Here is a 25310-nt window from a genome sequence, read left to right as displayed (position 1 = left end):
TTCACTGCCCCCACCCATAGTTTTCCTTGGTATTATCCTTTTAGCACCTGAAAACAAAAACAAATTTCAGTATGTATAAGACACTCCACTAATACCAAACCGTGAAGATGGCCATGTCGGCCTTCCCTATACAAAGATACTTGGCCTAGAGGGGGGAACCAACCACATGTCATCAGCTCCTGCCTTCATTGCTGTATGCTTCGTGGTGGCCCTTAATACTTGGGCAAGAGACCTGTTACTCAACCTCAATTTCCACTCATTGTAAAATCAAAGGCAGCAGGAACCTCAAACCACAGGCCCAACTTTCTAGCCAGGTTTGCAGAGCTTCTTCAGAAGCCAGGGTCAGAATTAGGTGTGCTTCTTCTCCAAGCTGTGGGCTTGTGAATGTAGAATGGGAACACCCTCATCCCGCCTTCCACAGTGGCTTCTTCCTCAAGTGCCCAATGCTGGATCTGACTCAGCTATGGAGGGTGAGGAGCAGAGGGACAGTGGCCGTTGGTGGTGGCAAGGGGGAAGTGACAAAGGGAAACGCAAGGGTTGGTGGCAACAGCAGAAGTGATGACTGGCAGCACATGATGTGGTGAAGGGGTGATGCCGTGACTGTCACACCCCACTGTGACAGGAGGCTTGTTTGCCACACCTTTATCCGGATCCATTCAAGGGACAGGCAGATTAGGGTTGCTGGTTTAAAAGTGATTAAAAGGCCGGGCGCAGTGGCTCACACCTGTAATCCCAGCACTTTGGGAGGCCGAGGCAGGCAGATTGCTTGAGCTCAGGAGTTCGAGACCAGCCTGCCTCTAAAAAAAATGTTTTTAATTAGTTGGGCATAATGGAGCATGTCTGTGGTCCCAGCTACTCAGGAGGCCAAGGCAGAGAGGATTGCTTGAACCCAGGATACAGAGATTGCAGTGAGCCAAGATCGTGCCACTGTACTCCAGCCTGGGTGATAGAGCAAGACCCTGTCTCAGAAAAAAAAAAAAAAAAAAAAAAAAAAAGTGATTAAAGGCCTAACAGAAAGTAAGGTTGGTGATGCAGTGCTGTGAACAAATCTCTCCAAGTTTGGCTGCTGTGCTACCTGTGTCAAAATCACCAGAGGTAATTGTTAAGGCTGCAGCCTCCTGAACCCCCACCCCAAAACTCCTGAATGAGCATTTCCTTTTTATTATTGTTTTATATTTTACTTTAAGTTCTGGGATACATGTACTGAACATGCAAGTTTGTTACATAGGTATACATGTCCATGGTGGTTTGCTGCACCTATCAACCCATCATCTAGGTTTTAAGCCCCACATGCATTAGGTATTTGTCCTAATCCTCTCCCTCCCCTTACCTCCCACCCCCGACAGGCCCTGGTGTGTGACGTTCCCCTCCCTGTGTCCATGTGTTCTCATTGTTCAACTCCCACTTTTGAGTGAGAACATGCAGTGTTTGGTTTTCTGTTCCTGTGTTAGTTTGCTGAGAATGATGGTTTCCAGCTTCATCCATGTCCCCGCAAAGGACAGGAACTCCTAAATGAGCATTTCTGAGGGGGGACAATCTGTAAATTTGCACACTAAACAAGCTCTTCATGGGATTCTGATACAGGTGGTTCTTAAGATCTCGCTTTCAGAAAACCACCCGAACATAATTTTGTTGCTTGGAAATTTGAAGTTGCTTGTCCTTCAACGTTGACTCTATGCAAAGAACTGCAGAAGACACATAGTCTTAAGATATAGTCCCTTAAAAAGAAATTAACCATAAGTATTATTAGGAGGAGGAGCAGTAGTCGTGATAAACAAACAAATAAACACTAAACTGCAACAAGGTAGAATGAGGGAGGAAAAATAGCAATGAAAGTTTATGGGCATTAAAATGAGAAAAGTTAAAACTCGGGGTTTAGGAAAGGGATTGGGAAGGAGGTGACAGTTCAGACTTCTTCAGTAACTTTTTTCCTTAAAACAATACGTGTGTAACAGTGGTTTATGTTCCTTGCAGACATCTGAGATCATTCTTGGACGAATGAAGAGAGGATTTCAACAGGTGGAGCAGGAAGGGGAAAGCACAGGATTCCAGGAGGAGGGAAAAACATAGGCATTGATGTGTGTTGACTAGTATTTCTGTCATCTCAGGAATTTGCCCTTAGTAAGAATCCTCAAGTGCCTTAAAGTTAGGACCTTAGGAAATTGTGTTCTCTTTCAGGCTAGCCAAGGCTAATTAACATTTTTGGGGTCCAGTGATTTCTTATAATGTTTCCTGGTTCCATAATGTATACAAAATTGAGGTATTAAATTATTAAATGATGATAAAACACTATGCTGCTTTAGGGGAAGGAGTACAGATGTCTGCAATTCACTTCGAAAGGCATCCAGGAAATAAGGTGATAGAAGGATGGATAGAGGGATAGTTAGAAAATAAACAAGTTTAATAAAATATTAACAGTAGAATCCAGGAAATGCATATACAGCTGTGTCTTGTAAAAATCCTTTCAACTTTGCTGTGTGTTTGAATTTTTTCACAATAAAATGGGGGTGGGGATGTTCTGCTTCTACAGGTCATGTGATTCTGAGCAAATCTCTGCTTAGCTCCCCTCGGCTTCACTTTGCCATTACTTTTAAGGACAAAAACTGCAATTACTTCTGCACCAACCTAATGGTTAATCTGCAAGGTCCTGTCCAGTTCCCAAATTCTCTCTTATTCCCTCTTCTCAGACAGGGAACACAGGGGTTACTACCACAGAGAAGCAGTCCTCTAACCTACCATGACTTAGCTCTGCTAATAAAGGTAGTTAATCTTCCTTATGGTGTGGCAGGGATGACCTAACTTGGACCCAGACAGTGTCAAACTGCTGTCTGTGGTTCTAGAGCAGGTGCCAGGCGAGTCAGACCTTGAAATTTGTTTTGAAACTGACCACCTGTTACTGTAATTGTGTGGCTGTTTTCCTGGCTTATGGGATTTTATTTCAGCTGTTGTTCTCAGGCGAGAGTTTATTTCCTCTAGGAATCACTCAGTTCACTTGCCCTAAACTTAGAATTTGAGTGTAGGGATCTTCCGGAGACTGAGTCAACTATGCAAATCTGAATCTTCTGTCAAAAATCCTGAAGTTACCTACAGACTTGAGTAACAACTTTTAAGGGAAAAAGTGAGAATCCTCTTTCAAGTCTTTTGTTACAGATAAAACATCTTCTGAATTTTGCAGGGAGAAGGAGCTAAAGGATTAAATTTATGGTTGCTCCTCATTTTTGTTCCTGGCTAACAGACAGCATTGTGCTGAGTCAGCACTTTCCTGGCACTCACCACCTTGCTGAAAATTCTCATGCCCAAAAAACTTTACTGCAAGCTACAACTTAACAAAGAATAAGTCAATTTTTCCCTGATAGTTAGAAGAGAATGCCACAATTTTGGAACTAGAGTGGACCTTAGTGATTAACTAGTTCAATCCTTCATATTAGAATTGAAGCAAGTAAAGTTCTGTGACATTATTATAAAGAGACTTGATCAAGATCATAAATCTTGTTCAGGGCTGAGATAGAAATCTCCTTATGTTGCAGAATGCACTCGTATAAAGGGAAAAATAATAAAAGCAGCTTAAAAAGCTGTGCTTATGAATATCAAGTTATTTTCTAAAAAAAAAAAAAAAAAAAAAAGCTATGGTGTTCTAGTTTCCTATTGCCGCCTAACAAACCACCACAAAACAGAGTGGCTTCAAACAACAATTTATTATTCCCTGCCATGGTTCTGTGAGAGAGGATAATACTAGGCTCCTGCAGGCAGTTCTTGCTCGGGGTGAGCAGTGTGGTTGCATCAGATGGTAGCTGGGGCTGGGCATCTAGGATGGCTTCTTCACCACATGTCTGATGCCTGAACTGGGGATGGCTGGAACAACGGGGGGCTGGCCAGATGTCTCTCCAAGTGGACAGCTTGGGCTTCATACAGGAAAGAACACTTGAGCAGAATCATGAAAAACAAGTGGGAGTTTGCCATACACAGGAGATGGGAAAAGGAAAATCAATAGAACAGACACAGCATGTACAAAGGCATGGAAGCAGAAAACATCACCGAGAAGGGAAAGCAGCTTTAGACTGGGAGTGAGAATGCAGTGCCTCCTCCCTCGAAAAGAGCCCACAATGGAGGTAATCCTAATGGGGAGAAGAAAGTTGTTGAGGCCAGGCGCGGTGGCTCACACCTGTAATCCCAGCACTTTGAGAGGCCCAGACAGGCAGATCACCTGAGGTCAGGAGTTCGAGACCAGCCTGGCTAACATGGTGAAACTCTGTCTCTACTAAAAATACAAAAATTAGCCATGCGTGGTGGTGCATGCCTGTAGTCCCAGCTACTAGGGAGGCTGAGGCAGGAGAATCGCTTGAACCTGGGAGGCAGAGGTTGCAGTGAGCCAAGATCATGCCACTGCCCTCCAGCCTGGGCAACAGAGCAAGACCCTGTCTCGAAAAAAAAAAAAGCTGTTGAATATTTCAAGGGAAAGCTGAAGGAAAATAATGTTCCTAAGTGAGTACCATCTTGGGGTGAAGTTCCCCTTCATTATTTGAAACTTCACAGTTTTGTTAGAAATTGAAGCTTCTGCTGGGTAGCAACTGAACTCCCTGAAGCTCTCTTCTTTTGAATTTTTCACTGCTGGAGAGAAGGGTCCTTTCTGTCTTGTGAAGTTAATAGAAACTTTCCCAGACCTAACATTGACAAAGATGTGTCATGTGTCTCAGAAATTAAAATGGAAAACTCTTTTTTAAAAAAGTGAAAGCAATTTGACAGCACTGAAGCATAGAGCCAAAAGGAAGGAAGAGGAGAAATGAGGTCAACTAGAAGCACCGACAAAGGGACCATTTTGGAAGCCATCATGACAACCCAAGCAAGAGATGATGAGGGCTTGAACTGGAGTTGAGTAGAGATGAAGGAAGGGGTGGTGATTTGAGAGCAATCTAAGGAGTACAATGAAATGACTGGTTAGCTATCCAGAGACAGGATGGAAGGAATCCAGAAACTGCCTGGATTCCTGGCTAAGATGACACAGTGGGTGATATATGTAGTCATTCGCTGATAGAGTGTAGCCAGGAAGAAGAATGGATGGGGTGGGAAAGAAAGTAATGAATTTGGACATACTAAGATGAAGATGCCCGCAGGTCATCTAGAAGAGAACTGTTCCATATGCAGTTCAATGTATGGGCCTGGAGCCAGGGAAGCTGGGGCAGGAGAAGAGATTTGGGAGTTACTTGCCCATTTGGAGAAGTATTTTTAAAAGTTACTGTTTTTAGGCCGGGCACAGTGGCTCATGCCTGTAATTCCAGCACTTTGGGAGGCCAAGGCAAGTGGACCCCTTGAGCCCAGGAGTTTGAGACCAGCCTGGGCAACGTAGCAAGACTCAGTCTCTACAAAAAAATGTTTTTTAAAAATTAGCCAGGACTGGGCATGGTGGCTCGCACCCATAATCCCAGCACTTTGGGAGGCTGAGGCAGGTGGATCACCTGAGGTCAGGAGTTTGAGACAAGCCTGGCCAACATGGTGAAATCCCATCTCTACTAAAAATACAAAAATTAGCCTGGCATGGTGGCACGTACCTGTAATCCCAGCTACTTGGGAGGCTGAGGCAGAAGAATCACTTGAACCCGGGAGGCAGAGGTCGCAGTGAGCCGAGATCGCACCATTGCACTGCAGCCTGGGTGACAAGAGTGAGACTCCATCTCAAAAAAAAAAAAAAAAATTAGCCGGGTGTGGTGGTGCACTCCTGTAGTTCTAGCTACTCAGGAGGCTGAGGTGGGAAGATCGCCCCCAGTGGGTGAGGATGCAGTGAGCCAAGATGGTGCCATCGCACTCCAGCCTGGGCAACAGAGTGAGGCTCTGTCTCAAAAAAAAATTTTTTTTAATAATAAATAAAAATTCCTGTATCACAAACTAATCAGGAAAACCTGCCACCCCTTAGTTGATGTCCAGTTAGTTGGTTCTATACACAACTAAATTATATACAAAGAAACAGTCCATTGTCATGGAGTTTGATTCTCCCTGGTTTACAACAGTAGCAAGTAGGGTTAGGGTCTAATAAAGGTGAAAGAATTACTGCCAGTTTGTTTTAACTATTTTCACTAAAAGATACTAAAGATCAATATCATTCTTTATCATTACTTACTCTTCTCAAGACTCTCTAAGAGCATGCCTTAGGAATGAGGGGCTATAAGCTCTGATATCTATTCCACTGTTTCCTGTTGCAATTGGTTCTCAAACTTTTAGCTTTAGAATGTCCTAGGAGCTTCTTTTTTTTTTCATCTAGATTCCAGAGCCCCAGCCCCAATGATTCTGATTCAGTAGGTCTAGGGTAGAGCCCAGGTATCTGCAATTTTAACAAGCGTTCCAAGTGATTCTGATAAAGCAAGTATTACCAACACAAATGGAATAATTTCCTAGGGCTCAATTTCTTCATCTGTAAAGGGGAAATAATGACACCTGCCATGCCTATTCTCAGGGCTTTTATGAAGTCCAGAACAACAGCGATATATGTAAGAGAGCTTTGAACACTGTGGGTTCTCCACACTGGTAAGATGTTGGTATTGTGTGGGGCAGTGCATCAGAATTACCTGGCAGGCTCCTTAAAACATAGAATGGTGAACCCTATTGCCAAGATTTCTGATTCAGTAGGTCTGTGGTAAGGCCCAAGAATTTGCCTTTCTATCAAGTTCCTAGGAGATATTGATGCAACTGCTCAGGGGACCAGGCTTTGATATGCTCATCCGGGCACCCAAAAGCACTGGTCTTAGGTCAATCAGCTGAAAGCTGTCGGGTTGGTTCAGAGGGTGACATATTTTACCTTAGAATTGTCTGGGCCTAGGTTCTCAATGTTCATGATTCCCAAAACTGTATTCATTTACCCAATAAACATTAACTCAGCACTTTTGATGTGCCAGGCACTCTTCTGAACACTGGACACACAATCCTGAATAAAATAGACCCAAAAATGAATGAATAAAATTACTTCAGATAACAGTAAGTGCCATAAAAATATAAAACAGGGTAATGGAATAGAGAGTAGCTGGGTTGGAGGTAGTTCTTCATATAGAGGGGTCAGGAAAGCATCCTCAAAGGAAGTAAATTTTTTTTTTTTTTTGAGACAGGGTCTTGCTCTGTTGCCCAGGCTGGAGTACAGTGGTGTAATTTTGGCTCACTGCAACCTCAGCCTTCCAGGCTCAAGCCTCCTGAGCAGCTGGGACCACAGGTGTGTGCCACCACACCTGACTAATTTTTGTATTTTCTGTAGAGATGGGGTTTTGCCATGTTGCCCAGGCTGGTCTCAAACTCCTGGGCTCAAGTGATCTGCCCACCTCGGCCTCCCAAAGTGCTGGGATTGCAAGTGTGAGCCACCGCTCACAGCCAGAAGTAACAGTTAAGCTGAAATAAAAGAGTCAGCCATACTAGATGGGACAAGAGCACTCCAGGCAGAGAGAACAGCAAGTACAAAGGCTTGGAGGCCAGAACGAGAAAGACTAGTGGGGCTGGAACTAGTGAATGAGAGGTAGAGTGACATGGGATGAGACTAGAGAAGTATACAGGGCCAGAAATGTAGGATCTTGCAGGTTTTGGGGAGTGTGGGTTATGAGTCAGGCCTATAGGGCAGATCTGTACAGATCAGCCCTTCCCAAACTAACATGCATGCAAATCACCAAGGATCTTGTTAAAATGCTGATTCTGATTCAGTAGTCATAGGATGGTGCCTGAGATTCTGCACTTCTCAGAAGCAAAATGCTGCTGTTCTGCTGCTGGAATCTAGATCACACTTTCAGTAGCAAGAGCCATAGAAGAAGATGCTAGGAAGCAAATAGACTCTGTCTTCCTTCAATCAGGGAAAAGCATGGATAAAAGGTAAAGGGAATGGTGAAAGATAGGGACCAAGGAAAAAAATCATCATATTGAGGGAACCGTGGACACTAAAAATTATCTTTCAGGAGGATCTATAATGTCCTTTTCAGCATACAGTTCAAAGGATTAAAAGATTGTCACTGAAATGAGGAACCTAAATAAAATAATAATTCTCTTGGTAGTTTACTTAGAAGTGGCTGCATAGGTTTCCAAAGTGAGTTTGTCTGCTCACAGTTGAGTGCTGCTGCTTTCTCAAACCCCACCGGAACTGCTTGAAAAACAAATGACTGTTTCCACAACCTCTTTAACCTTCTGTGACTCTCTATGGCTATTGCCTGCCACTGCCTTCCTCGAACATTCTCTATTCCTGTTAACCAATGTTGCTGGCCCTTCTCCCTCCCTCTGCCATGTAAGGGCCCAGGACTTGGGTGGAGTAAGAGAGAAACACAGGCCTGAGGATAGCAGGGGGAAGAAGGCATTTCAGAGCCTGCCTGTTGCCTCTGCAGTACTGCCTGGAGTGCAGCCATAAAAATATAGCCAGAGTCTGCTTCCCTTCCTCCATTCTCTTCTGGGGGTTGGGATGGGAACTGAGTAGTCTTACCTTATAAGCCATATGGCTATTTCTTTTAAGGAATGATCTTCCTAGAATGCAGCCAGAAGCCCAGAACGGTAAAAAAAAAAAAAAAAAAAAAAACAAAAACTTAAAATCAGATGCCTCTTTGTGTAAACTTCTATACCACACGATAGATCCCTTGTTTGTTATCATAAGCATGTTTCTCCAAAATTTCCTGTTTTTCAGATGATTTGTGAATTGAAAATTCTGTCTGTGGAAGGAAAGCCACATTATTGAAGCCCCAAACAATAGAATGACTATGGCTTTAATCCTTTGAATAAGGCTTTGTTTCCCATTGACTGAAAACTTCCGAAAGGAAGAAAAGCTAGGAACATTCAGGAAGGATTTGTATTTCATTTTACAACAGTTTTGTGAAAGGGGAAAATCATCTGGAGGCCTTAGACTCCCTTTCCTGGTTGATGGGTATCCGAACACACAGCCGTGCTGGGAGCTGGCTGCAGATGGTGGCTCCCACCCACCAAACACTTCCCCACCCTACTGCCAACTTTGTTTCATTATTGTTGTGCTGACACCAACAGACGTTCATCCTGAGCCAGAGTTTCACATATTCCCTGGGCATGACTAGGAACAGGTGCACCCAGTCTATCTCAATTTACTTGCATGGATCAAAAATGTTTCCCTAATATATTCCACAATGATTATATTGCATACTCCTTAATTTATGAATTTCCTATTAATAAAGAGATATCATAATTGAAAAAAGTCATCAACCATTGAACTCTTAAATTACTTTCAATTACACTCCCACTTGACTGTGTTTTCATTTACTTTACACATCAATAATTATTTTCTTTTAAAATAAAGTGAAATCAATGAGCTGAATCCTCCTTACAATTTGGGAAAGAGGTCTGTGGATAAAAAAAGCTGCTTTAGCCAGGCATGGTGGCTCACGCCTGTAATCCCAGCACTTTGGGAGGCCGAAGAGGGTGGATCACCTGAAGTTGGGAGTTTGAGACCAGCCTGACCAACATGGAGAAACCAGCCTCCACTAAAAATACAAAATTAGCTGGGCGTGGTGGCGCATGCCTGTAATCCCAGCTACTCAGGAGGCTGAGGCAGGAGAATCGCTTGAACCCGGGAGGTGGAGGTAGTAGTGAGCTGAGATTGTGTCATTGCACTCCAGCCTGGGCAACAAGAGCAAAACTTCATCTCAAAAAAAAAAAAAAAAAAGCTGCTTTAAATCCCCAAATGCTGATACGGCCATTCCTGCTTTGCACAGATTCTATGCCGGAGGCATAAATTATGGAGCTCAGTTCACGGGGCTGTCAGGCCCCATTGCAGAAGTCAAAAGGGCCTCTTGGACACCTGCCCCTTCTGAGTGATATCATCCTCATTTATAAATCCCTACTGAATGTAGAATACCACACACACCCTCTTACGGCCAACAGCCCTTAGGGTTTTGTCTCAGGTATGTCTCTGGGGACATAATTTAGAGATTCACCATCCTGAGAATTATGTTTCCGGTACCAAATCCTAATTATAGGTCTACTCTATAAGTGACTTCCCAGAGACAGAAGGTGCAGTTGAGGTTAGGCCTAGGTCTTTGTTAGCTGTAATTAGAGAAGGTAATACCTCTTCGTCCACGTGGTCCTATCTTTACCACATTACCTGTACTGGTGGGAAGAGCCAGCCTCACCACTCTGTTAGGGACACATTGGAGAAAAGAGACCAGTCCTTGGCTAAGAAAGACAGGATCCATTTTTCCAGTGCTTTCCAAAGCAGCATCCACTTTAAGTCAGGGAAGGCCTTCAAATTACTTTCTGTAGAAGAAGATTTAAAAGAATGTTTCTGTTTAGGGTTTTTCAGTCTTTTGTCCAAGGACTCTTCTATATCTTTTGTCCAACTACAGAATCCTTTGAGAGTCTGTTGACAATTATGAATCATTTCCCCTCAAAAATGCACATATGTGTAGACACAAACAATGTTGCATGCAATTTCAAAAAGTTCACAGACCCCTGGAAACCCATAAGCCTCAGATTAAGAGCATTTAATCAAGATTTAGACACTTTTTAAATTTATAGAAGTTGTGAATTTATAGAAGTTGAAAGCAGAAGAGCTATTAAATGCTCCAAAGCATTTAAAGGACAAAACTAAAATAAGAAAGTAAAAAGAGAAGCGATTAAAATATAGCATTTTTCTAAAATAGATCAGGGTGATTGTCTTTTTTCCTCTGCAAACATTGTACAGCAGAGCATGAAACACCAGCTTTACCCTTTGCTGCTTACATGCTAAGACTGCATGGTATGTTAATGGTCTCATAGATCCACAATATATTCTATGTTTGTAATTAATAGCTACCCTGATGGTTGCCTGGTATATATGAGGCCAAGGGCTTTGACTATAGGATTACTTATTGCTCACAACAAGCACACAGGGTAAATATCACTAACCCATTCTACAGCCAAGAACATTGAGAATCTGAGAAGAAAACAGCTTTCCCAAAGCCACACAGCAATTAAGCAGCAGAGATGGAACTCTGACCCAGGGCTGTCTCCAAAGGCCTCACTCTTAATACAATGTAAGAATGCAGGCCTACTAAATTTTATAATTAGCTTTTAAAATGTTCCTTCAGAGTCCTTGGGGCAGTTATCAGGCAAATAGGAAGCAGGAGAACTTCAAGGGCTGCTTGAAGCAAAATCACAAGCTTTGCAGTGACAGCTCCAGGATGTCTGCCTGGGAGGGATCTGAAGGCCGTGGGGAGCTTGCCTTAAGGCTGCAATTGCAATTGCATAGCAAGCAAGGAGACTTTCCTCCGCTTCAAGTCAAATGGCACAGTTTTGGCAGCCACAGCCCTTGCTATTGGAAGAAGCTGCCCTCTCCATCAGTGGGTGGTTGGTGAGAGTTAGGGCTGAGCTCCCGCCTAGCTCTCACTCCTGAGATGTGCAAATAGCTCCGCCCACCCCTGCCCTGCCTGGGCCCTCCATCAGTTCTGCTTCTCTGCCCCCTCTGCACCCTCAGCCTGTCACTCTGCTGCCCTCTGCGGTGGCCACACAGGGATGAGAAACCTGGGAAAACCAAGCAAACACTCTATCCTACCCTGAACTGTGAATGTAGGAATAGTTAATTCAGACTTCTCTAACATTAGAGTTTTCTAAATGTAACTGCCAGCATGGGACACAGCCTGGAACCTAGAATAAATGAACGAGGCAATCAAAGCCTTAGAGGATTTTCTTAACTCAAGTAGGGCCAGGCATGGTGGCTCACCTGTATAATCCCAGCACTTTGGGAGGCCAAGGGAGGAGGATCTTTTGAGCCCAGGAGTTCAAGTTTACAGAGATCCATGATCATACCACTGCACTCCAGCTTGTGTGACAAAGCAAGATCCTGACTCAAAAACGTTTTTTAAAAAAATAAAAATAAGCTTGAGATATTATTTATGGGAGGCAGGACATCACAGTAGCTAAGCATGTGGCTCTGGGGGCCGATGCTTGGGTTCTGATGGTGATTTGACCCACTTACTGTTTTACAAGTTATTTTGCCTCTCTGTGCCTTAGTTGTTTTATCATAAAATGGAAATAATAATAGTGCCTAGCTCAAAAAATTGTTCTAAAAATTGTTTAGACTGAAAAACCCTAAACAGAAACATTCCTTTAAATCTTCTTCTAATGAAAGTAATTTGAAGGCCTTCCCTGACTTAAGACAAAGAGAATGCTGCTTTGGAAAGCACTGGAAGTGAATCCTGTCTTTCTCAGCCAAAAAGTTGTTCTAAAAATTAAATGTATGAATAAATATATTACACTTAAAACAGTGCCTGGCACATCATAAGCATTCAAAAAGTCTTAATTAGTATTGTGATCATCATTTGGCCACTTTCATAGTCACTGATGAGTGAACCACTTTGTCCATGAGCTAAAATGACTGTGAAAACCCAGAAAGTAAGTTGTATTTCCCTGCAGAGGTTTGAGGGTGATGAGGTGAGCAGGTGAACGTGGTGCAAGGCCTCAAAACCAAGCTGAGCAAAGGAGCCCCAGTGTTTCAGTCAGGTATTGCTGCATAACAAACCACCTCCCAATGTACTGGCTTAAAACAGCAGTTTACATTTCTTATGATTCTGCGGGTCAATCAGGCAGTTCTAGTTTGTAGAGTGTTGGCTAGGGCTCCAATAGGCTGGAACACTCAAAATGGCCTCATTCACATTCCAACTGGAGCTCAGCTGGGGTTGTTGGCCAAAGTCCTCAGTTATCCTCCATCAGGTCTTGTCATATGGCTCTGGAGCTTCCTCACAGCTTGGCAGATGGTTCCAAGAAAGAACACTCTAAGACATGAAGACAGAAGCTGAAGACTTCTTAAGGCCCAGCCTTGGAGATTATATTATATTGGTCAAAATAGGTCATAGGCCAGTCTAGATTCAAAGGGAGTGAATCTAGACTCTACTTCTTGATGAGGGAGTGACACAGTCACATTGCAAAAGAACATATGGGATGAGCGATATTGTGGCAGACATCTTTGGAAACACGATCCACCACAGCTACGGGAAGAGAGAGGAACCAGATTTTCCTACCAAGGTTTGGATTGAGTGACTCAAATAGGAAGACCAATCCGAGTTTGCATCACAAAGTTACCTACTAAAATGAAGAAGTAAATGGAACTAAATGTTTTTAATTTAGCACAACTTGTTTATATGTGACTTAAATAGGATTATTCTTCAGAATATTAAAAATAGTTCCTTTAGGTCAAAAATCACATGGAGAGGTCGAGCGTGGTGGCTCACGCCTGTAATCCCAGCACTTTGGGAGGCCAAGGCGGGTGGATCACTTGATGTCAGGAGTTTGAGACCAGCCTGGCCAACATGGTGACACCCCATCTCTACCAAAAACACAAAATTAGCCGGGAGTAGGGGCACACACCTGTAGTCCCAGCTACTCAGGAGGCTAAAACAGGAGAATCACTTGAACCCAGGAGGCAGAGGCTGCAGTGAGCCTAGATCATGCCACTGCACTCCAGCCTGGGCAAGACAGAGTGAAACTCCTTCTCAACATACATACATACATGCATACATACATACATACATAAAACCAGAACCATAAATGAAAATAGAAAAAAAGACATTAGGTTGGAGAAAATAATTATCAGTAAGGTGCCTTTCTAAAAGTAAAAACTTTTCCTTAAAAGGTAGATGATAAAACCACATACTCCCTGATAGTGACAATGGTGAGCTTGTAGTGAACACTGAAGGGCACTGTGTTAAAGTGAGCAAAGCAGAAAACCATAAAAAGGAGGCTGAGTGATGAATAGGAAGAGTCAGACAAGAGCCCCAGGAGAGTCCTGAAATTGCTATTGCTGAGATTTTGATTTTTCCCTACCTCCTCGCACATGTAGAATTCTTTTTAAAGTGTGATATACTTTATATTTGTATTTTACATTATAATTTATTGGGGTTGGGGGTTAACACCCTTTATAAAATTTCTGGATATGGCTGCAGTCATACATGGATTTACAAAATAAGACTGGAGATAATCTCACCAAATGAATTATGATTTACCTTGAATGTTCCAGTTCACAATTACAAAAAGTATGGTCTTTAAGATTCATTAGAGATGGATAATGTTAAAAAAGGAAAAGGCAGAAAGACTTTGATAGATTTTTGAATGGTGGGGAGAAGAGAAAGCAACAAGAAATGGCACCAAGATTTTGGGCCTCGGTGATAAATGAATGGTTATGTTTGCTAGAGTGATTGAGAAGGTGAGTAGAAGGAAAGAGAATTGCATATTGCAGGGCAGAATTACAAAAAACAACAAGTTTGGGACTGAAAGACTATATTAAGGGAAAGTAGCAGCCATTTAGCATTTTCATAACATCCTGATGTCCCTGGCTTACTTCTATTTGGGAGAGGGGCCCCACTCGTTCTCATTTTATGAGACTATAACTTTTTAGTATTCATTTTACTGTTTGTCATTTATTGAGTTGTTTCTACCCAGTGTGTTTACAACTCACATAAAATACTAAAGACAATCAAATATACAGAAACAAGGCTGGGAAATGCAACTTGCCCAGTGAAAATGTCATTAGTATCTAGTGGCAGCTGCGTACTGTAAAACCATTGGCATCGCCTCAGATAAAAGGCAGATGAAAAACAAGGGAAATGACTATCTAGATGCCTTGATGGAAAACTGTTTTTAATAGTAGGTGGTTTTAAATAGGCTGTCAGAGAAAGAGGATAAGTTGTCCAAGTGATAAACTAGACAATCCATCAAGAACAGAATGCAAAGAGGAGAAAAAGGTAAAGTTCTCATGGGAACAGGATATAAAGTTGATGACAAAAGGCCTTCACAGGGAATGAAGAGCAACATAACAATGTGTGCCATGTATTATTTGCATAAACTCCAAAGAACTTGGCACAATTTATATTTCCCACATCACAATCATAAACCAGGAAGTAAGAAAAAAGAGTGTCAAGCCGCCAAAACAGGTGGAGTATTCAACTTCACTCAAGGGAGTTAAGGGAGTTCTCAGGTCCTCACTTTAACAATAATTCCAATAAGCTTGACTATCCGTTTCTCCAAACCCAACCATTTCAAGTGAGATGCAGATTCAACATTTACATGTTATGTATCTCGACAGTAGCTCACCCTTGTTGAGCATTAACTACGCATCAGGTACTGTTCTAAATTCTATCTAGATGGACCTATTTATTACCATAGCAACCTAAGAGGTAGGGACTAGAATTATCCCCATTTTACAGATGAGGAAGCTGAAACACAGAAAAGTTTTTAAAACTACCCACCAATCACATAGCTAGTAAGTGGTAGAGTCAGGATGTGATAGCTAGTAAGTGGTAGAGCCAGGCTAGACAGGTTCCTATAACCTTAACAACTAGGCCAGCCCTGCCCATAATAATCACCTGTTGGGCTTTTAAAACAGTTTGCTGGGCTTCACCCTGAGAGTTTCTGATTCAGTATGTCTGGGATGGGGCCAGAGACTTTACATTTCTAACAAGTTCCCAGGTATATTCATTTGCTTGGACTGCCATAACAAAGTACTGTATACTGGGTGGTTTTAAATAACAAAATTTATTTTCTCACAGTTCCGGAGGCTAAAAGTCTGAGATCAAGATGTTGGCAGGGTTGATTTTTTTTCCGAGGCCTCTCTTCTTGGCTTGTAAATGGCCCTCTTCTCCCTGTGTCTTCACATAGCCTTCCCTCTTGTCTGTGTGTGTCTGCGTCCTATTTCCCTCTTCTACAGACACCAGTCATACTGGATTAGGGCTTACCCCAATTACCTCATTCTAATTTAATTACCTCTTTTAAGACCCTATCTCCAAACACAGTCACCTTCTGAGATATTGGGGGACTCCAACATATGAACTGGGGAGGTAGAGGTGGGACTACACCTTCAGCCCATAACACCAGGTGATGCTGATGTTGACATGCTGGTCCAGGGACCACAATTTGAAAACCACTGAAATCAGCAAAAGTAGGTGTCATGGACTGTTTTCTCTTTCAATTATTTTTTTTTTTGCTTTTATTTTTATTTATTTATTTTTATTATACTTTAAGTTCTAGGGTACATGTGCACAACATGCAGATTTGTTACATATGTATACATGTGCCATGTTGGTGTGCTGCACCCATTAACTCGTCATTTAACATTAGGTATATCTCCTAATGTTATCCCTCCCCCCTCCCCCCACCCCACAACAGGCCCTGGTGTGTGATGTTCCCCTTCCTGTGTCCATGTGTTCTCATTGTTCAATTCCCACCTATGAGTGAGAACATGCGGTGTTTGGTTTTTTGTCCTTGCGATAGTTTGCTGAGAATGATGGTTTCCAGCTTCATCCATGTCCCTACAAAGGACATGAACTTTAATCCTTACATGAGAAAACACCATGACTCTTATTTTCTTGACAAAACTGAGGATCCAAGACGTCAAATGACTCTCTTCAGATCACACAGCTAATGTAATGGACACAGCTGGCTATCTACTCAGCATCCATTCTTATCCTTCCTCCATCCTAACAGAATCTGGTTTTATTTAGATGTCCACCCCTCTCCCAGGTATACATGTGCTCCAGTGGAGGCAACACTCCCAACCCACCCCCAAAATTCTGAGGTAGGCCTGATTGCCTATTGATCCCATTTCCCTTACCAGTAACTGGTTTGAACACAAGCATGTTGATCCAATTCTGGCCAATCAGGTGTGAAGGAAAGCTGGCTGCAGAAATTTTAAGGAACGGTTTCTACATTTGAGGGAGAGGCATGGGAAAGTACGAGGTCTGTCTCCTTCCCTGATGTTGTCACAACTGAATGTGATGCCTGAACTTGCTGCAGTTGTCTTGCTACCAACCTCAGGGTGAAGTCTCCAGAGCAGCGAGAAGGAAAGAACTGCTCGGTCCTTGATGACATTGCTGAATGCATGGATCAACCAAACCTGGACTCTCCTCTTTCCCCAACTTCCTACTGGATGAGCAATACATTACTGTTTGAAACAGTCTGAGTCAGGGTTTCTCTTATTTGCAGCCAAAGGCATCCCACCTGATTCAGCTGGTAAACAGGGGTGTTAAGATTTGAATTACATCCAGGCGTGAGAGAAGTAATAGCTAAATTCAACATGACAGCAAGGCTGGAGCCAGAATGAATTTGCAATACAAGAACTCAAAAAGCTTGGCAATATACAACAGGACAAATACTATATGATTCCACTTATCTGAGATATCTAAAATAGTCAAAAATCATGATATTAGAAAGTGAAATATTGGTTGCCCAGGACTTGGGGGAGGGGAAATGCCAAACTGTTACTCCATGGGTGCAGGATTTCAGTTTTGCAAGATGAACAATTTCTAGAGATTTATTACACAATGTGAATATAGTTAACATTACTGAACTGTATACTTTTAAAAGGTTAGAAAGATAATTTTTATGTGTTTTGTCACAATTTTTTAAAAAGATTGGCAAACTAGAGTCATTCAGGATAAAGAATCCTACACACTTCAGAGGGCTTAAAGATGTTACCCTAGGTATAGAACATTGGCCTCCTTGCTCCTCCCATCTTAAAGCCCTTACACTGGTTGTCCTCTTCCCTGGAATGCTCTTTCCCCAAATATGTACACAGGCACATCTCTCAGTGCCTTCAAATCTTCGAATGTCACTTTCTCACTGAAGCCTACCCTGACCACCATATTTAAAACTGCAACCACACCTCCCCAGAACTCCTGTTTCTCTTAACTTGCTCAATTTTTTTTTCATTTTCTCACGTTACATAATTTACTTATTATGTTACTTATTTTGTTATTTATTATCTGCCTCCATCCTCTAAAACATAAGATCCACAGGAACAGGGACCTTTATCTACTTTATTCTCTGATGTATCCCAAATGTCTAGACTAATGCCTGACACATAGTCGACTCTCAATAAATACTTGCCGAAAGAATGTATGAGCACTGGGACCAGGTGTGGTGGTTCACACCTGTAATCCCAGCACTCTGGGCAGCTGAGGCAGGCGGATCATTTGAGGTCAGGAGTTCAAGACCAGCCTGGCCAACATGGTGAGATCCCATCTCTACTAAAAATACAAAACTTAGCTGGGCATACTGGTGCTCATCTATAATCCCAGCTACTTGGGAGGCTGAGGCAGGAGAATCTCTTGAACCCAGGAGACGGAGGCTGCAGTGAGCCAAGATCGTGCCACTGCACTCCACTCCAGCTGAGACACAGTGAGACTCTGTCTCAAAAAAAAGAAAAAGAAAAAAAAAAGTATAAGCATTGGTATAAATTTTGGTAACTACAGTCATCAACCAGAAACTTTGTATACACTGAGGTTATAAAACATGAAAAGTGACTTCTGCACTAAGATGGCAGATCTAATCTTGCTCCTGCCCTTAATGCCACAAAAACTATAATCGAGAGGATGGGAGAACAGGAGAGGAGACAATCCCCCCAAAAATGCAGGAAGCCAAAAAGCAGCAGGTGGGCCAGTGGTAACCTACTTAGCAGATATGAAAAGCTGAATCCTAAGGGAGCAGTCAAGAAAGCTGAGAAGTGACCTCACTCATACCACAGAAATCACAAAAGACTCAAGACAAGCAGCACCAAATACCTCTGGAAACGGAGATGGGGAGTGGGAATGATAATGACAATTTGGGGAAAGTTACAAGAGAAGTCTGATTCCTGCAGCCCTCCATACTCTACTCTTTTGGCAAGAGTCCTCTCCTACCCTGACATGATGGATTCTGTAGAGAAGGTAAAAGGTGGGTCTTTGACTTCAGGAACTGGGTACTGTACCCAACTAGGGGAATTCGGTGACCAAATACATGTGGGATGCCAGATATTCCCAGAACACTAGCAGTGAGACCTTTATTCTTCATGCAGCAGATCAGAAGAGCTTTCTCCCTGAACAATCTGACTAGCCAAAGGGAAAGATCTAAAAATACTGACACCCATCAAATGGCCCACCCAGACCATCATGCAGTAAAATCCACAATGGACAAACCCCATGGAAGTGCTCAGAGAGCTTCTAATCAGCTTTTTAGTCTCCCCTTTTTTTTTTTTTTTTTTTGAGACAGAGTCTCGCTCTGTCACCCAGGTTGGAGTGCAGTGGCGCAATCTCGGCTCACTGCAAGCTCCACCTCCCGGGTTCACGCCATTCTCCTGTCTCAGCCTCCCAAGTAGCTGGGACTACAGGCGCCTGCCACCACGCCTGGCTAATTTTTTGTATTTTTAGTAGAGACGGGGTTTCACAGTGTTAGTCAGGATGGTCTCGATCTCTTGACCTCATAATCTGCCCGTCTCGGCCTCCCAAAGTGCTGGGATTACAGGCGTGAGCCACCGCACCGGGCCTAGTCCCCACTTTTAACATAAGCAGACAATCAAGGATTCACTGAACACCTGAGGTAGGTCTCTAACATGGAAGACAGAGGCCAAAAATAAACAAATAGAAAAGCAACTTGTAAGAAAGGGGTTATGTAGAGAGAACGCTTTTAAAAATTCCCCAAAAAATCACTTTATTAATATGCTCAGTAAGATGAGAAGATATTATATACATTTTAAAAGATCAGGATTCTATTCTTTTAAAGGACCATTCAAATAACAAAAAGAGTGCTTTAGGAAATTATTAAATGATGGCAATAATGGGAAAAACGCAATTGAAAGACTATATGATAAAGTTGAAAAAATCTCCCAAAAGCATATCAAAATGCAGTAAGATGGAAAAATGGAGAGAAATTATAAGGAAATTAGACCAGCTCAGGAAGTCCAATACTTAATAAGAATTCAGGAAACAGAGAAGAGAAGAAATGGAAGGTAGAGAATCATCAAAGACTTTTTTCAAGAAAATGCCCCAGAACTAACGAGCTTCCAGATGGAATGGCCCAATGTCCAGCACAATGATAAATTTAAACCCCCAGGCTGATAAATATTATGAAATTCCTGAGCATTAGGAACAAAGAAGGACCCATGTAGTCTACTTAGCAGATGTCCTGTGAGCTTCTTTCTTTTCCAGGGGGAAAAGAACCACATACAAAGGACCAAGAATCAAAGTGGTGGCTGGGCGCAATGGCTCACACCTGTAATCCCAGCATTTTGGGAAGCCTAGGCGGATGGATCACTTGAGACCCAGAGTTCGAGATCAGCCTGGGCAACATGGGAAACCCCATGTCTACTAAAAAACAAAAAAATTAGCTAGTCTCATAACCCAGTCTTGAAAAAAATAAAGAAATAAAAGAACCACAATGGCACTTCAACCCTCTTAACAGCAACAACTAGGTCCATGGACCTACCCAAAAGTCATTTTCCAGCTCCCTAAATGTATAGTTTGGGATGGATATTGTATTGGAAATTGGCAGAGTCCGACGCTGATTCCTGTCAAGACAGGAACACACAGGACAAGTAAGGAAATGTCAAGGCCTGAATGATTCCATCAGTAAAGCTGTAACATGCTGCTTTTAGATTTAGATGGTTTATTACTTACATAGACAGTGAAAACAAGAATAAGCCCCCAGCCTGGACAACATGGTGAATCCCCATCTCTACAAAAAATACAAAAATTAGCTGAGCATGGTGGTGCACACCCGTAGTCTCAGCTACTCCAAAGGCTGAGGTGGGAGGACCCCTTGAGCCCGGGAGGTCGGGGCTGCAATGAGCCTTGATCGCACCACTGCATTCCAACCTGGGCAACGGAGTGGGACCCTGCCTCAAAAAAAAAAAAAAAAAAAGGCCAGGTGCGGTGGTTCACTACTGTAATCCCAGCACTTTGAGAGGCTAAGGCAGGCGGATCACCTGAGGTCAGGAGTTTGAGACCAGCCTGGCCAACATGGTGAAACCATGCCTACTAAAAATACAAAAATTAGCCAGGCATGGTGGCGGGCACCTGTAATCCCAGCTACTCGGGAGGCTGAGGCAGGAGAATCACTTGAACTTGGGAGGTGGAGGTTGCAGTGAGCCAAGATCATGACACTTCACACCAGCCTGGGAGACAAAGGGACACTCTGTCTCAAAAAAAAAAAAAATTAAATTAAAAAAAAGAGAGAGAGAAAGAAGAATAAGCCAAAGTTGCCAGCTCCCTGTGATTCTTGTCCCATTAAGGACATCACTGAAACAAAAGGCACCAAATGACTGCAACATGAGTAGTGGGACACTCTGTTGCTTAACAGCCACTTCTAGACTCCAGTTAAGCAGTAAGATATTATATACATTTTTGTATTCTGCATTTCCCTTGAGGGAAGGGGGCAAGAAGTCCCACACCTCATCAGAATCTAGGAGGTAGTAAGAAACCATCCCATAACAGCCTCTCAGGGAGACAGGGAAGTGAGTGGGAGATGGCCTTCCACCCTCTCATGTTCCAGCAGGATCACAAGATGTTTTTCCAAGATTCAGGTTAGCTGCAGTTCCCGCCCTTGCCTACATGGCTTATGTGGATCCTGCAAAGCAGCCAGAGCACCATAGCAGAGCTGTTCCCCTATTCTTTGGTCTGTGGAATAGGCTACCATACCGGATAAAGCTAAGAGGAAATCTCTAAAAGTCACTTTCCCAGCCCCCAACTAGGATAGGAAATCATAAACAATAACATGTCCCCAAGGGGAATAGTGGAGATCAGTGCAACCCTTAAAGACGTAATGGTTGGTAGTCTCCATCACATTCCTATTGTCACCGGTGTGGCTCCAGCAAAAACCAGACAAATTCAGGAACTTGACAGTAGACTACTGCAAGTTCAACCAAGTCACAGCCTCAGTTGCAGCTGTGGTATCTTTACTACAGCAGATTCTTAAGACCTCAGGCATATGACATGTGGCCACTGATCTGGCAAATGCTTCTTTTCTATCACTATCAGGAAAGGAGGCCAGAAACAAGAATATATATTTACAGTCTTATTCCAGGACTAAATAAGAATACTTTTATCAAGGCAACGGGGCCAAAGTAAGAAAGAAGTACATGGACAGGCCTCATGGACAGATGGAAAGGTAAGATCGCTACCCTAGCAAAGGGATAATAGATGGGATTTGTATTCAGATTTCTGATAACCAGTCCATACATTAGGACTATACCTGATTGAGGCAATCCAAGTTTTAAAAAAAATTCCAAGATGAAGCAACTTCACAGACCCCCTTCTGTATTCGAATCCCATGAGTATAATGGGATGCCTTTTTTAACGGAATGTGATACTGATCATGAATATTCAGTGTTGCTCCCCAAGGAATGAGTAAATTCTCCTGCCCCCATGAACTCAGGAATGACGATGTGACTTGTTCTCGCCAATAAACTAGGAGAATGTGAAATGTGTCACTTCCAGGCAGCCATTTTAAGAGCTAAATTCTCTTCCTGACTCTGTAATAATGGAAGCATGTATCAAGATGGCGCATCTATCAGCCTAGGTACCTGTGTAATATTAAGAACAGGAACTAGGACTTATCTTTTTATTGCCAGCACCTGATAGAATGCCTGGCACAAAGTAGATGTTTGTAAATAATCTTTGATCAATTAAATAGGGAATAAAATTTCATACCACCTGCAATTAGAAGGAAAGCTACAGGCAAGCAAGGACCATGGCTGTCTTCTCACTACTCCATGGGGGAGCCTCCAGAGAGAGCCTTTCACTTGCGCTGGGATCTATGTGCACCCCTTAACACTTTGTGCCAGACTAAGACACTACCAAGTCAGTTGAAACGACGGAGTGCAAACTCTGGCAGGGGAAACAGTATTAAACCAAATCTCCAAATTATTTTCAATTTCGATTCAAAACTCATGAATGATAGCTTTTTTAAAAAATCAGTTTTTTAAAAAAGCCTAACTTGGGGATATTCGCCCATTGGGCAACCAACACTATGCACTGTCCCTAACACTGCAACAGATCCAGGCAATCAATGCAATTGTATGCGTTTCTTGTTGTCGTTGCCACTGTATTTACACCTCACTTACACAGGGACTGGTAACCCATGCTGCCTTGGCAAGCCAACTGCACTCCTCTGTCCCAACAAGCAGGGCAATGGATTGCGAAGAGGCCTCCTCCGTCCCCAAGCAGCTACGTCGCCCAGGGGAAGAGAGAAGGCGGGAAAGTCCAAGAGAGGAGAAACCAAGGCCCGCGCTTAGGTGGGTGTTTTAGTGACGAGTCTGCGGTTACAGCCGAGCGGAGTTGAAAGGGCTGTTAGAAGAATGGAGCAGAAGTCGCAGTTGGGACGAAGCTGAAGAGAGCTGGCATTCGCCCAGGTCTACAGCCAGCCACCTGGTAACCCCTGCCCCCGCCCCCAGAGCCAATCCAGCGAAACTACCGCGAATTCCCGGGAATTCCCTCCAACTCCGGGAAAACTCCCGGAGGGGCGGGGCAAGAGTGGGAGGAGACCCTGCGCGCGGCCGCCAGCGCTCCGGGATCTCGAGATAGCCGCAGCTCTCGCGATCTTTCTGGAGCCGCACCTCCACGCGGAGTCCGAGCGCGTGTGCTGAGACCCCAGGGTCGGGAGGGCGGAGACTGGGAGGGAGGGAGAAGCCCCTTTGGCCTGCCTTACGGAAGCCTGCGAGGGAGGGTGGTGTCCACTGCCCAGTTCCGTGTCCCGATGCCCAGCGCCAGCGCCAGCCGCAAGAGTCAGGAGAAGCCGCGGGAGATCATGGACGCGGCGGAAGTGGGTTTCCTCCTTTCCTGGGCCTGGGAGGACAGACCCCTGGGCCGGGCTGCGCCGAGGGAGGGAGGAGGGGGAGTGGGGCCCTACAGGTCCTTGTCGGCACGTTCTCCGCAGGCTGCGGGCGTGGGGTCCGGGCGCCTAGAGCCCTTGCCCCAGCAGTGGGGCCAGACCCTCTCCGGACCGCGTTTCTTGCGGGGGTCACCTGGGAGTTTGGCCTACTAGAAGCGTGTCCCCGGGGTGGGGAGGACGGGAAGAACCAGCCGCCCCGGAAGTAGGAGCGCGGCGTCACACTTGAGTCTCTCTGGGTTAGGCACGTCCTGCACGTAATGCACAATCCCTGGGAAAATTTTAATAAGCACTAGTAATCGATATGTACTCAGCCCTCGTGTTCCTAATGCTTTAGCAAGTAATGACAGTACTTAGCAAAACCATCTGCCAATATGTTTAATGACCATTTCCCATGTGACAGCTTTAAAGAACACATGTCATTTTTATTTACTTTCTCCCTCTCAGTGACCCGGTAAGGTAGGTAATAGGAGTTACCGAGAATGCATTTGAGGTGAAGTGACCCCAAATCACGTGGATAATTCATAACACCCAGTGATCCTTCGGTGCTTTTCAGAAATCAAAGTTTGAAACCATCCTACAAGTTATGTGTGCTGTAGTACTGTTAAGCCTTAATTTCCGTCTGGCTCCCTAATTTTTCTATAAGGAGTTCTGAGTTTGTGGTAAGCAACATGAGAAGTAAGGTCATCTTAGAATACTAAATGAGGAAGAGTCACTGAAATATTAATAGTACTAATTATGAATGCAACTTTTTTGTCCTTCACACAATTTAATCTCCTTCTGTTGCCCTCAGGCTTCATTGTGTGACTGTATCTCTCTACTCTGGCCAGGGTTATCTTTTTCTTTAAATTGTTCAGTAAGCGCCTTAAACATGTCTGGTTTTATTTTGGTGTAAACACAAAATCCAGCACCCTCCTGCTCTAAAGGAGAGGATTCCAACAGGTAGCTGTAAAGTGACAGAAACTTAATTGTTTCATACAGATCTTAAGTTACCTTGTAAAAACTAGGGCAATTATTTTTGTGTACTCTTAATCTGCTTAATTACATAAACTATCAGTGTACCCTTACAGATAGTATAGGTCTAGATACAAGGTAGACATTGTGGCAGAGTTATGCCATTTTATAGCTAGAAGAATCTTAGATCATTTTAGAGGTAAAGTAAGATTGAAATAAAGGCCACTTATCTATTTAATAAGTATATTTTGTTAACAGATTGGACCCTAGGTCTTCTGTTTCCTGTTCCTAACTCTAATCTGTAACAAGAAATTTGATATTATTATATTGTCAGTGTCAAACTCCTGTAACCTGGTATCCTGAATCTGGTTTTTAGAAACAGGAAGCTGGTGAATTTTTTGATGATGTTTTACAAAAGGAAAGTTGTAGTTAGCTTATACCCAGCATCTCCAGTTTCTAAAAACTGTGGACATCTGGTGCTCAGAAAGCTTACCCAAAACGTTGGTTCTCTTTGAACATTTCTTCCTGTAATAGGAAGTTAATAAAACTGTGGTACTTCATCCTACTCCCTTCACAGAGGAAATTTATGTCCCTGCTTTGAAGTAGTTTCATCTTTTTGAAGAAGGTAGTTAAGATGTGTTGTACATATGTGTAAATTTTATCTGAGAATGTTATTAAGTATGGTAAATCCATCTAGGAGTGGTGATCTTCAAAACAAACTAACCAGAAACAGTACTTTTCTGTTTTCTGTAGAGTACATATGTAAATGAATGAGAGAT

The 25310-nt window shown here is 43.2% G+C and overlaps 1 protein-coding gene and 1 long non-coding RNA gene across 4 annotated transcripts in view, besides 2 other annotated features; one reads left to right on the top strand and one right to left on the bottom strand.

Moving 5' to 3' along the window:
- Positions 1-1371: 1371 nt before the first annotated feature.
- DARS1-AS1 (DARS1 antisense RNA 1) lies at positions 1372-23738 on the bottom strand. 2 transcript variants are annotated; one of them, NR_110199.1, is made up of 4 exons: positions 23398-23738; positions 10076-10227; positions 8435-8475; positions 1372-1718 (listed from the first exon to the last, which is right to left on the bottom strand). It is a non-coding gene; the product is annotated as a DARS1 antisense RNA 1 (long non-coding RNA). The 2 variants fall into 2 exon arrangements; NR_110200.1 differs by lacking the exon at positions 1372-1718 and adding an exon at positions 3677-3921.
- Positions 23230-25310, top strand: part of DARS1 (aspartyl-tRNA synthetase 1) — a 79804-nt gene continuing 77723 nt past the window's right edge. The window contains exon 1 of one of the 2 annotated variants that reach the window (NM_001293312.1): positions 23230-23511. Coding sequence is in view for 1 of the 2 variants with exons in the window: in NM_001349.4 (NP_001340.2) it covers positions 23446-23511 (66 nt within the window). In the remaining variant the exon portion in view is untranslated. The remainder of the gene's footprint in view (positions 23512-25310) is intronic. The other variant, NM_001349.4, reaches the window with a different exon arrangement.
- Positions 23442-23541: an enhancer, noted in NCBI's record as "active region_16580". NCBI's record gives its function as "activates an Ori minimal core promoter by ATAC-STARR-seq in GM12878 lymphoblastoid cells {active_cell/tissue: GM12878}" and the evidence as "EXISTENCE:reporter gene assay evidence [ECO:0000049][PMID:35858748]".
- Positions 23592-23651: a silencer, noted in NCBI's record as "silent region_11984". NCBI's record gives its function as "represses an Ori minimal core promoter by ATAC-STARR-seq in GM12878 lymphoblastoid cells {active_cell/tissue: GM12878}" and the evidence as "EXISTENCE:reporter gene assay evidence [ECO:0000049][PMID:35858748]".

This window comes from Homo sapiens, chromosome 2 (assembly GCF_000001405.40).
Source record: "Homo sapiens chromosome 2, GRCh38.p14 Primary Assembly".
Lineage (NCBI taxonomy): Eukaryota > Metazoa > Chordata > Mammalia > Primates > Hominidae > Homo > Homo sapiens.
The sequence above is the reverse complement of the archived record's forward strand: the minus strand, read 5'-3'. Positions and strand labels throughout refer to the sequence as shown.